Source organism: Homo sapiens, chromosome 5 (genome assembly GCF_000001405.40).
Source record: "Homo sapiens chromosome 5, GRCh38.p14 Primary Assembly".
Taxonomy (NCBI): Eukaryota; Metazoa; Chordata; class Mammalia; order Primates; family Hominidae; genus Homo; species Homo sapiens.
The window spans coordinates 109,413,628-109,427,036 of record NC_000005.10 but is presented as its reverse complement, the minus strand read 5'-3'; positions in this window follow the sequence as shown (position 1 = coordinate 109,427,036).

Below are 13,409 nucleotides of genomic sequence, written 5' to 3'. Positions count from 1 at the left end.
GCATGTGCACATGTGTTTGCTATTACTAAATAGCAAGATATAATTGTGAAGAAATAGACATATATCTTACCCTCATAGAGTTTATAGATGATTGGGATAAAAATATAAACTACATGTAAAAGGTACATATATTTCTAGGAATGAGACTTGTATTTAACATGTATTTAAAGCCTGAAATTCTTGAATGAATTTAGAGGAATCCTGGCTAAATGAACCCAACTGGGATTGAATTTGTGAAAGATCAGACATTGGAAAAGGGACACGAACTCAAATTGTTCCTAAATCTCCATTTGCCACCTCGAAGACAGGCAAAACATTTCAGGGATTTTCTGAGGACTCTGTACCAGTGGCATTCGTGACTCCCATGCCAGTATGTAAGGGGGATAAAGTATCTGGATATGGGACAGGGGGTTTACTGGGGGATGGAGCAGATGGAGAAGGGGTAGGTGAAGTGGGGACAGGCTGAAAAGAGTGTGACAGGCAAAAGGAAGGATCATCTAAGACATCAAAATCAGGGACAGAGGAAGTTCCCTGGAAGCATGCATGACAATTTTCACATAATTTTGGGTTTTGGGATAAAGCCAAAAAGACCTGAACATATGGAACCTCTGAATACAAAAGAAAATTATATGCTTCTTTCTGAGAGTTTGTGAGTCAAAATGGGATTAATTTTTAAGAATATGATCTAAGGGTAAGTAGGAATGAATAAGGAAGTGCAAGAGCCCTAGGGCATCCTTTTGTCTCACTCTATTCGGGGACATCCCACAATGGATAGAGGGCCTGCCCCTGCCTGTATGACCAGACCAGCATGTCCTTGTTTGAGTGGTCAGCTCAAACCCAATGTGAAGGAGAACTCACCATAACTTATGATGTAGTGTTTGTGATGAAGTTGAATCCAAAATTGAGTGCACCACCAGTGGAGTGTGTCTGCGCAGAGTGGAGATCGCTGCTGCTCATTTCCAAGGCATGGTTTACAGAGCGTTAAAGTGAAAGTGGCTGGGTGTGGTGGCTCACGCCTGTAATCCCAGCACTTTGGGAGGCTGAGGCAGGTGGATCACGAGGTCAAGAGATCGAGACTATCCTGGCCAACATGGTGAAACCCCGTCTCTACTAAAAATACAAAAAAAATTAGCCGAGTGTGGTGGTGGATGCCTGTAATCCCAGCTACTGGGGAGGCTGAGGCAGGAGAATCGCTTGAACCCAGGAGGCAGATGTTGTCATGAGCAGAGATCGTGCCATTGCACTCCAGTCTGGGCAACAAGAGCGAAACTCATTCTCCAAAAATAAATAAATAAATAAATAAATAAATAAATAAATAAATAAATAAATAAATAAAGTGAAAGTGGACTTGCTACCCTGACAGGCAATAGCAAATTCGTCCTTTTGTCTTGGCCTTTGGGTAACACCAGGGAGTGACTTGGACCAGAAACCCTCAATTCCCAAAGAGTACTCAAGCTGGCTTACTGGCAGTCAGAAAATAGAAAAGAACCCTGGCCAGTCTCTCACCTCTAAGAACAGCGACAGACAGGTATCCCTTCTCTAGGCTTCAGGATCCCACCAAAGAGTGGCCTCAGCCAGCTACCATCAACTCCCATGAGTAGAGAACCAGGGCACTGAGGGAAGCAGGGAGAAAAAAGAAGGGAGAAATCTCAGTAAAATCCCCATACAGACTACCAAGATGCTGGGCAAGGTGTCAGAGTCCCAGCATTAGAAAGTCGTCGACTCATGAGTTGGGAAGAGTTTACTGACAACAGTATAGGTTTGAAAAGGAAAGTTTTATTAGCATAACCACCTGATGGGTTCACCTTGCCCACTGCCTAGACAGAGCTAATTTATCAGGACAGGGGAACTGCAATAGAGAAACAGTAATTCACACAGAGCCAGCTGTGCAGGAGATCGGAGTTTTATTATTACTCAAATCAGTCTCCCTGAGCATTTGGGGATCAGAGTTTTTAAGGATAATTTGGTGGGTGGGGGATGGCCAGTGAGTCAAGAGTGCTGGTTGGTTGGGTCAGAGATGAAATCATAGGGAGTTGAAGCTGTCCTCTTGTGCTGAGTCAGTTCCCGGGTGGAGGTCACAAGATCAGATGAGACAGTTTATGGATTTAGGTGGTGACAGCTCATCCATTAAGTGCAGGGTCTGCAAAATATCTCAAGCACTGATCTTAGGAATAGTCTTGGGAGGGTCAGAATCTTACTTATAGCCTCCAGCTGCATGACCCCTAAACCATAGTTTCTAATCTTATGCTTAATTTGATAGTCCTACAAAGGCAGTCTCATCCCCAGGCAAGAAGGAGGTTTGTTTTGGGAAAGAGCTGTGATCATCTTTGTTTTAAACTATAAAGTATAAACTAAGTTCCTCCCAAAGTTAGCTCAGTTTACACCCAGGAACGAACAAAGACAGCTTAGTGATTAGAAGAAAGATGGAGTTGGTTAGGTCAGATCTCTTTCACTGTCTCAGTTACAATTTTGCAATGGCAGTCTCACAAGATAGAAAGAATGCTGCAGGAAAGTGCAGCAGGGCACCTCAGCAAGAGAGGACAGAGCACGCCACAGTGGATTTTTCCTTAGGGGTGTTTATGGACCTTAAAGTGGGAGCTTAAGAGTAATTTGAATCATATTAGCCATTTAGGTCATGACAAATCATTACATTTGTAGACATTTTGGTGTTAGCAAGGGTTGCACAACAAGTCTCAACATGCATGCATTCTGGAGATGTATAGAAATTCTAGTAACTGGCCGGGCACGGTGGCTCACACCTGTAATCCCAGCACTTTGGGAGACCGAGGCGGGCAGATCACGAGGTCAGAAGATCGAGACCATCCTGGCTAACTTGGTGAAACCCCGTCTCTACTAAAAATGCAAAAAAAATTAGCAGGGCGTGGTGGTGGCCGGTGCCTGTAGTGCCAGCTACTCAGGAGGCTGAGGCAGGAGAATGGGGTGAACCCGAGAGGCGGAGCTTGCAGTGAGCCGAGATCGCGCCACTGCACTCCAGCCTGGGCGACAGAGCGAGACTCCATCTCAAAAAAAAAGAAAAAGAAAAAAGAAATTCTAGTAACTTAAAAAATTGTGGAAAAGAGGTCTGGAACTAGATCCCTGCTCTAGGTAATAAGAAAGTCTAATTACTTCTGAATTCCTCAGTTAAGGAGTTTTGCCTCTGGATGGTCTGCTTGATGGCCACCAGGTGATCTTTGCTCTCCTCAGTCATCATCATCATAATTATCATTTAATCAGTGATAATTGTCACTAATTATTGAATGCTCACTATGTGCTGGATACTGACCTAACTGCTAATTATTGCACTATTCCTCACAATAATTCTTTAGGGGTAGGTGCTCTTATTCTCCTCATTTTCCACATGTAGAAAGCAAGAATTAGGTCACCCAGTTAGTAAGAAACAAATACGGACTGTAGACAAAACTTTTTTTTTTTTTGACAGAGTCTCACTTTGTCTCCCAGGCTGGAGTGCTGTGGCACTACCTTGGGTCACTGCAACCTCGCCTCCTGGGTTCAAGTGATTCTCCGGACTCAGCCTCTCGAGTAGCTGGGACTACAGGCGCGTGCCACCATGCTTGGCTAATGTTTGTATTTTTAGTAGAAATGGGGTTTCACTGTGTTGGCCAGGCTGGTCTCAAACTCCTGACCTCAGGTGATCCACCTGCCTCGGCCTCCCAAAGTGCTGGATTACAGGTGTGAGCCACCGTGCCCAGCCACACAAAACTTTTAACTACTATATTCTATTCTGAATAACTAGAGCCATCAGATCTAAAACTCATGGGTGGATGATATAAAGGAGGAAGATTTTGGCTGGGCGTGGTGGTGCTTGCCTGTAATCCCAGCTGCTTGGGAGGCTGAGGCAGGAGAATCACTTGAACCTGGGAGGCAGAGGTTGCAGTGAGCTGAGATTGCACCACTGCACTCCAGCCTGGGCGACAAGAGTGAAACTCCGTCTCAAAAAAAATTAATAAATAAATAAAGGGGGAAGATTTTATCTTACCTAAGTAAGAAATTTCTAACATTCTACTTCTAACAGTTCAGAGATGGAATAAAACCTTATCTCAATAAGCTCCCCAAATATTGCTGTGTTGAATAGACCTTGGGAAAGGATTTCTGCATTGAGTAAAAAGCTGGACCAATCAATATTGATTCTTCCTTCAAATTCTTCAGAATTTGTCTTTTCACTAACAGCTGATATCGTGCTGTGGATCTCATAGCCTATTTGTCTTGGCATTTTGCAATTACTACAATTTATATATATATATATATATATATATATATATATATATACATATATATATATATATACATATATATATATATATATATATATTTTTTTTTTTTTTTTTCCTGAAACGGAGTCTCGCTCTGTCACCAGGCTGGAGTGCAGTGGCACAATCTCGGCTCACTGCAAACTTTGCCTCCCGGGTTCAATCCTTTCTCCCGCCTCAGCCTCCCAAGTAGCTGGGACTACTGGTGCATGCCACCACACCCAGCTAATTTTTGTATTTTTAGGAGAGACGGGGTTTCACCATGTTGTCCAGGATGGTCTCCATCTCTTTACCTCATGATCCGCCCACCTCAGCCTCCCAAAGTGCTGGGATTACAGGCGTGTGCCACCACGCCCGGCCTAGAATATACATTTTAAAGGTACTAAACATTCATATTTTTAAGAGTTATGCTGATTGTTTGTTCTGATATTGGCTACATGCCCTGCCATGGACACTTGTCATTCCTGTTGCCTTCCTGGATTCTGAACTTCTTTCCTGTTTGAGGAATTCCCTACCATACAAATCTTAAGGGGAAGCAGAACTTCCCATTACTGTATAGTAGCAGAAAATGTCAACTATATGCTCTCCTACCCTCCACTGGCACATGATTTAGGCTCGAGTAATCAGACACCCCTCCAAGGACTTTTACTCAAAAGCTAGTGGTGTAAGGAAGCATGGTCAGGGAAGACTGTTTTGGCAGAAGCAGCAGCCAGTTTTGAGTGGCAGAGTTGCCAGAAGCACCATCCTGCATTGGTGCAGGCTGTGTCAGCCGTGCTCAGTGGAATGGCAGCAGTGTCCTCACCAGCCTTGTTAGGCAGCTGGCCTCAAGCTAGGAGTCTAGGTACCCAGCCTCCCTCTGTTCCTGTAAGTCTCCCAAGTCTGATTTTTCAGTCTTCTGGAAGCTACCTAATATTTTTTCAATAATTTCCTTTTCTTATTTAATCAGCTGGTTTTGTTTAATTACAACCCTAAAGGATACTGTTCCCATCATAAGCAAGTAGAATTCATCACTGTCAATTTGATTTTACAGTCTCTTCCTCATACAAGTGTGAGATTCATTAGAAGTTAAATGAATCTTTTCTGTTCACACAGTGCTCTGTGCTAGGTAGTGCTAACGACATACCTGGACATACAGCCTAGAGAAAGTCCTCTAGGCTTAAATAATCTACAAATCAAAGAGTGTGTACAAGACAGCATGTTATCTCTTCTTCCTCCTGAATCTACATTAAAATAATATTTCAAAAATTTAAAAGCATAAACCCTAAGTAACAAACATAATGGGAAGAAGAATATCAGCACATGAGAGACTTCAAGAAATTTTAAGAAAACAATTCAAATGGAGGACTATAACTGATAGGGCCAGGCAGAAAAACTTAAAAACTCAAGGATTCTTAGAAAGAGTTATAGCTGAGATGGGAAAGTGGCAAACTTAAAGGACACTAGAGATAGTCAGGATTTCAGAAAGCTAGGTATTAGCACTACAAAAGGCAGAAGTAAGATACAGAACTGTACACAGAGATCATTCAAAGATTTAATCAAACTGAGCAATAGATACTGTAAGTCACATACATAAGTTTAAATTTTCTGGTAACCCAGTTTTAAAAAGTAAAAAGAAACAGGTGAAATAATTTTTAATATATTTTATTTAACTAACATATAAGACACAAATATTTCAATATGTAAGCAATATAAAATTGTCAATGATATTATATATACATATATATATAGAGAGAGAGAGAGAGCACACTAAATCCTCAAAATATGGTGTGTATTTTATACTTCCTTGCATCTGAATTAAGACTAGCCTAGCCATGTTTCAAGTGCTCAATAGCCGTATGTGGCTAGTGGCTACTATATTGGAAAATAGCTCTATATGAAATTCCATGTAGAAAAATACAACAGCTAAGTGTCTATTCTGCCATACAGAGAAGTTAAAGGTGTTTTTCTTCTCTAAAGAAATGTAACAGTCCTAGGCCGGGCACAGTGGCTGACGCCTATAATCCCAGCACTTTGGGAGGCTGAGGAGGGCAGATCACCTGAGGTCAGGAGTTCAAGACCAGCCTGGCCAACATGGTGAAACCCCGTCTCTATTAAAAATACAAAAGTTAGCCAGGCATGGTGGCGTGCACCTGTAATCCCAGCTAATTGGGAGGCTGAGGCAGGAGAATCACTTGAACCCAGGAGGTGGAGGTTGCAGTGAGTCGAGATTGTGCCACTGCACTCCAGCCTGGGCAACAGAGCAAGACTCCGTCTAAAAAACAAAACAAAACAAAACAAAAAATGAAACAAACAATCAAAAACGACAAAAAGAAATGTACCAGCCCTGAAGCAAAGTTTTGGCATTCTAGTATTTATGGTTTTCCCAGCACAACAGTTAGCTCCCCTTGAAGTAAAGCCTGACAATCAGCAAGTCCCACACATATTCATGGACCTTCCAATTAATTTATTATTCAAATAAGAACACAAATGAAGGATTATCATATATTTGAAGAAAGCTTGCAATAAGAAAGAGAAATATTAAAATTTAAAAATGCTGTAAATGACACCGAAAGAAACCAACATAGTTCAAGGAACAGAAGGAATCTTAGCAAAGGGAAAAAAAAAAAAAATCTCTAATTAGAATCTGTACTGCACTCCAGCCTGGGCGACAGAGTGAGACTGTGTCTCAAAAAAAACAAACAACAACAACAAAAAAAACAGGATCTTTAGAGAAATTCAAGAAAAGATTATATCCATAATATAACAGGAATATGGCATGAAAAAGAAATCATAGGAATTAAAAAAACGATGGTTGAAAAATTCTGGCCAGGTGCGGTGGCTCATGCCTGTAATCCTAGCACTTTGGGAAGCCAAGGCAGGCAGATCACCTGAGCTCAGGAGTTCGAGACCACCTTAGGTAATATGGTGAAATCCTGTCTCTACTAAAATACAAAATATTAGTTGGGCTTGGTGGCATGCGCCTGCAATCCCAGCTATTCAGAAGGCTGAGGCATGAGAATCACTTGAGCCCCGAAAGCACAGGTTGCAGTGAGCCGAGATCGCACCACTGCACTCCAGCTTGGGCAACAGAGTGAGACTCCATCTCAAAAAAAAAAAAAAAGAAAAAGAAAAATTCAATACAAGTAATAAAATATAAAGTTTAAGAATTCTCCAAGAAATTTGAACAAAAAGAAGATGAAAGCGTGAGAGAAAACAATTGGAAGATATCTGGAGAGGAAAGAAAAGAGAATGGAGGAAATTATCAACGTAATAATACAAGAAAATTTCCCTGGGCTCAAAGATTTAAGTATTTATACAGAATAGGATTTACCCAATGCTTAGCACATGAGTCAAAAAAAAAGAAAAAGAAAGAAAGAAGAAAAGAAAAGAAACACATTTAGAACAAATTGTTGCAAAATTTTAAAACACAAAGAGGAAATGTACTAAAACTTTTCTGAGAGAAAAAAAATCAGGTTACCTACTGTAGAGAACTTAATCCACTCTAGCAAGTTTGGTCAGAAAAAAAGTGTATTATTTGTTACAAAATGTCTCACACTACTGTTGGGAAGGCTGATGAAATAGGCTCTAATTTGAGCTTCCACGAACTACCCCTAAAGTCACACTGCAAAACTAGGACAAAAGAACTTGTGCCCTTACCATAAGCACCAAGAGCTGCTTGGCAATTCAAGGAAAACTTCACTGTCACTCCCAGCTCCAGTACCACACAATCTCTAGCACAATTCGTACCAACAAGATGATGTCCCAACCTGACTCTGGACTGCCACAGAACTCAATATCAGATACTAGATCTTTGCCACAGCTGCTAGAGATAATTCCAATTCCTCCAAACTGAGTCTGCAGCAGAAACAGCCAAAACAGGAGAATGGTAGCTTTAACTTATGAAATTCACTTCACCTTCCAAATCTCATGTGGGTGCATGTAATTGGCAGAACCTATGTGATATCTGGCAGTCTAACAGCTAAGGAATCCAAGAAATGGAGTCCTAACAAGCGCTGTCTCCCATATTTAAAGGCATGTTAAAAAGTTGTAATGAAGGTTGAAGAAGCCAGCTCTGATTGTCTATCACTGTGGTACTTGTGCCTGCAAAGTCTGTAACTCCAGGGAAAAAGGTTTGAAGACTATAGAATATTAGAGGTGTGTATTATTGTTACTGACTGCTTAGCAAAGTATAAGATGAAGGAGATAAGCTCAGGTGAGAAATGGCTATTTACAAATAGAAATGAAACAGAAATTCCAGAAGTTTGGGGCTGCAAATGACTGGAAAAGTGAACTTCCACTACTAGACCCTAAACTGTGAGCTAAAAAAAAAACAAGAAAGGTTTTGATCAACAAAGACCAATTAAGACCAATCTTTATGAAAAAATTCAGTTTAAGAGCATGGCTTTCTCACCCAAGCCTGATGGAATCAAGGTATAATCACCATTAAATGGAAAGAGAGAGACACGGAAATGAGGAAGCAAAGAATTAAACCAGACTTGAGAATTAAATCTAGAAAGAAGTTTGAATATGGCTAATGATTCATAGAACTACCTAAAAGGAAAAGTATCAGAAATTTATTAAGAATTGGAAGGAATTATACTGCTAAAGAACCATGAGTCTAGACTTTAAAAATGCATTTTCCTATTAAAACTTTAAAACAACTGTCTGGTGTGCTTCTGGTTGAATTCTGCTACTAATTAACTCCTATCAGACTAACCTACCCACTGACAGCAACAATAAACACTAGGAAAACATATACAACAAATGTTTGAAGGCATAAAAAATTAGCAATGTTGGAAACACTTGAGAGCCTATGATCCTTGAGAAAAGGGTAACTCATGACGTGAGCTTCACATTCATACTGACGTTTCCCTAAGAGCAATTTGGTTTTTACCAAATTTACCAAATTGTGATACCAAGGAAGAGTTCAAACAGAAAGTGGATACACCAAGGACCCTTAGTACACAGAACAGACAGAGGTAAGAGTTCAAGGTTGCCAAAATGGCTGAACTCAAGAGGAAATACCCACAAGAGGAGAGAACTGCAAAGAAAGAAACTAAAAACTCTTTATACAAGTTTCCCTCAAGTTATTAGCTGACTCCTAAATGATTTATGCAAACAGCAAGACTACAAGAAAACCAGCAGAAAATACCAACTGAGACTATAATAAAGAGCTGAGAAGGTTTCAGCAGTCATATGGCCCAGCAGACAAAGATAGGAATTTAAGTCCTGCCGAGAGAGAGAGACCTTGGTCAATATCCCAGGCTTTCAGTTGAGACCCCAGAAGGGTAACTCTGTGAGTCAGGACCATGGCCTGGGAATAAGGGATATATCCTAGCAATAAAGGCAAAGCTGAAATAGACCAACCCTAACATAGCCTAACAGCAATCCTCCACAGATTCAAGGTGATCTGCTGGCAGATCATGATCGCTAATGACAATGACTTGCCTGCTAGATCAATACAAATCTCAGAAATATTTCAAACTCACTTTCTCCATGCTTTCTCCATTCTGTTGGCTGGATATTGATACTCAGACTGATCATGAAAGATACACGTATTAAAGATGGTAGACCTCAGTTTCCTAAATGTGAAGCAGAGCATCCTGCTCATTCTGCTAAATGGCATTTTAATAATAAGCAATATTATGTTGTGCTACTAAGACTTGAGAAGTTGATTTATTACAGTGACTAATATATAACCAATAAAACCTCTCTGTAGTCACCACCTCATTTAAATGCTATGACACACGTATTATGTTATTATCTCTATTTTCTAGCTCAGGAAACTAAGGCTCAGGAAAAGTAGATAATCAACCCAAGGACATACATGAAAAGGCTAAGATTAGATTTCCTATTTCTTCTTGAGTCAGTTTTGGTAGTTTGTGTCTTTCCAGAGATTTGTCATTTTATCAAGATTTTCTAGCCTGTCAGCTTACAAATGTTCTCAGTATTTCCTTATGTTAATCTTTTATTTCTGTAAGGTCAGTAGTAACGTCTCCTCTAACATTCCTGATTTTAGGAATTTGAGTCTTTTTTCTTTTTTTCTTGTTCAGTCTAGTGAAAGCCTCATCATTTAAAAAAATATATTTTTGAAGGTCCAACTTCTGGTTCTGTTGAAAACCAGACATTTAAAAAATATGACATGGCAGCTCTGGAAAATGGAGTCTTTCTCCCTCCTGGGCTTTTTTTGTTGTTGCTACCATTTATTGTTGCTTGTTTAGTCACTTTTCTGAACTACTTCTATAAAGTCTATATTCTTTGTCCTGTGTGGCTACTCGCACTGCTTCGTTAGTTTAATGTTTCTGCTTGCTTAGCTTAGTGTTCTGCTAATGAGTAGACATATTTTCTGAAGACCTGGAAACAACATATCTCCCAGGGTTTAGTGAGGGTCTGTGTGTACTGGAGCATGGCTTCAACACTAAGGCAGGCAGTTAATAACTCTCCCTTAGCCTTCACTTCCTACTTATGTAGAGCCTGAAGATCAGCCTAAGGTGAATGCTTAGGGTCTTCACAGGTCTTTCCTGAGTGTATGAACAGTTTCACACAGCTGTGGACATGTGTGTGAGCTTCTAGATCCCCAGGAATGTGTTGGAGTTGGTATTAGGCCATTTTCACACTGCTGACAAAAACATACCTGAGACTGGGCAATTTACAAATGAAGTGGTTTATTGGACTCACAGTTTCACGTGGCTGGGGAGGCTTCACAGTCATGGCAGAAGGTGAAAGGCATGTCTCACATGGTGGCAGACAAGAGAATAGAGTTTGTGCAAGGAAACTCCCCTTTTTAGAACCATTGGATCTTGTGATACTTATTCACTATCATGAGAACAGTACAGGAAAGACCCACCCCCATGATTCAACCATCTCCCACCAGGTCCCTTCTACAACACATGGGAATCCAAGATGAGTTTTGGGTGGGGACACAGCCAAACTATATCATTCTGTCCCCGGCCCCTCCCAAATCTCATGTTTCAAAACCAATCATGCCTTCCCAGCAGTCCCCAAAAGTCTTAACTCATTTCAGCATTAACTCAAAAGTCCACAGTCCAAAGTCTCATCTGAGACAGGGCAAGTCCCTTCTGCCTATGAGCATGTAAAATCAAAAGCAAGTTAGTTACTTGCTAGATACAATGGAGGTACAGGCATTGGGTAAATATAGCCATTCCAAATTGGAGAAATTGGCTAAAACAAAGGGGCTACAGGCCCCAGGCAAGTCCAAAATCCAGCAGGGCAGTCAAATCTTAAAGATCCAAAATGATTTCCTTTGACTCCATGTCTTGTATCCAGGTCATGCTGATACAAGAGATGGGTTCCCATGGTCTTGGGGAGCCCTCCCCTGTGGCATTGCAGGATACAGCCTCCCTCTCAGCTGCTTTCATGGACTGGCGTTGAGTGTCTGTGGTTTTTCCAGGCACATGGTGCAAGCTGTCAGGAGAGCTACCCTCCAAGGGGTCTGGAGGATGGTGGCCCTTTCTCACAGCTCCACTAGGCAGTGCCCGAGTAGGGACTCTGTGTGGGGGCTACAACCCCACATTTCCCTTCCTCACTGCCCTAGCAGAGGTTTTCTGTGAGGGTGTTGTCCCTGCAGCAAACTTCTGCCTGGGCATCCAGGTGTTTCCACACATCCTCTGAAATCTAGGTAGAGGTTCCCAAACCTCAATTCTTGACTTGTGTGCACTCACAGGTACAACACCACATGGAAGCTGCCAAGGCTTGGGGCTTGCACCCTCTGAAGCCATGGCCTGAGCTCTATGTTGGCCCCTTTCAGTCACAGCTGGAGTGGCTGAGACACAGGGTACCAAGTCAGTGGACTGCACACAGCATAGGCACCCTGGGCCTGGCCCAGGAAACTATTTTTTCCTCCTGGGCCTCCAGACCTATGAATGGAAGGGGCTGCCGTGAAGACATCTGACATGGCCTGGAGACATCTTCCAGATTAACATTCAGCTCCTCATTACTTATGCATATTTCTGAAGCTGGTCAGAATTTCTCTTCAGGAAATGAGATTTTCTTTTCGATTGCATTGTCAGGCTGCAAATTTTCCAAACTTTTATGCTCTGCTTCCCTTATAAAACTGAATGCCTTTAACAGCACCCAAGTCACCTCTTGAATGCTTTGCTGCTTAGAAATTTCTTCCGCCGGATACCCTAAATCATCTCTTTCAGCTTCAAAGTTCCACAAATCTCTAGGGCAGGAGCAAAATGCTGCCAGTCTCTTTGCCAAAACATAACAAGAGTCACCCTTCTCCATCTGAGACCACCTCAGTCTGGATTTCATTGTCCATACCATTATCAGCATTTTGGGCAAAGCCATTCAACAAGTCTCTAGGAAGTTCCACACTTTCCCACATTTTTCTGTCTTCTTCTGAGCCCTCCAAACTGTTCCAACCTCGGTCTGTTACACAGTTCCAAAGTCACTTCCACATTTTTGGGTATCTTTTCAGCAATGCCCCACTCTACTGGTACCAATTCACTGTATTAGTCCCTTTTCACACTGCCATAAAAATATACCTGAGATTGGACAACTTACAAAAGAAAGAGGTTTATTGGACTTACAGTTTCATGTGGCCTGGGAGGCCTCACAATCATGGCAGAAGGTAAAAGTAACGTCTCATGTGGTGGCAGACAAGAGAAGAGAGTTTGTACAGGGGAACTCCCCTTTTTAAAACCATCAGACCTTGTGAGACTTATTCACTATCATGAGAACAACACAGGAAAGATCTGCCCCCATGATTCAACCACCTTCCACCAGATCCCTCCTACAACACATGGGAATTCAAGATGAGATTTGGGTGGGGACACAGCCAAACCATATCAGAGTTTTCAAAGTTCCTGTGGACATCTCATTCTCCAGCTTTTCCTTTTGAGGTAGGAGATCAGCAGGATTTGTTTTTTGAGCGCTGGTCAATACCCCTGTCACTACTGCTCTTACCAGAGCAGGATCTGGTAGAAAACAGAGTGCAGTAAAGAAACCAGCTGAAACCAGCAAAGGGCAACAAAAGTGACCTCTAGCTGCCCACACTGTTCATTAGTATAAAGACACTCCTGCTGGGACCATGACAGTTTACAAATGCCATGGCAACAAGCCATGGCAACAGCCTGAAAGTTACCTTATATGGATCTAAAAACTCCTCACCTCTAGAAAGTTCTAATAATACACCTC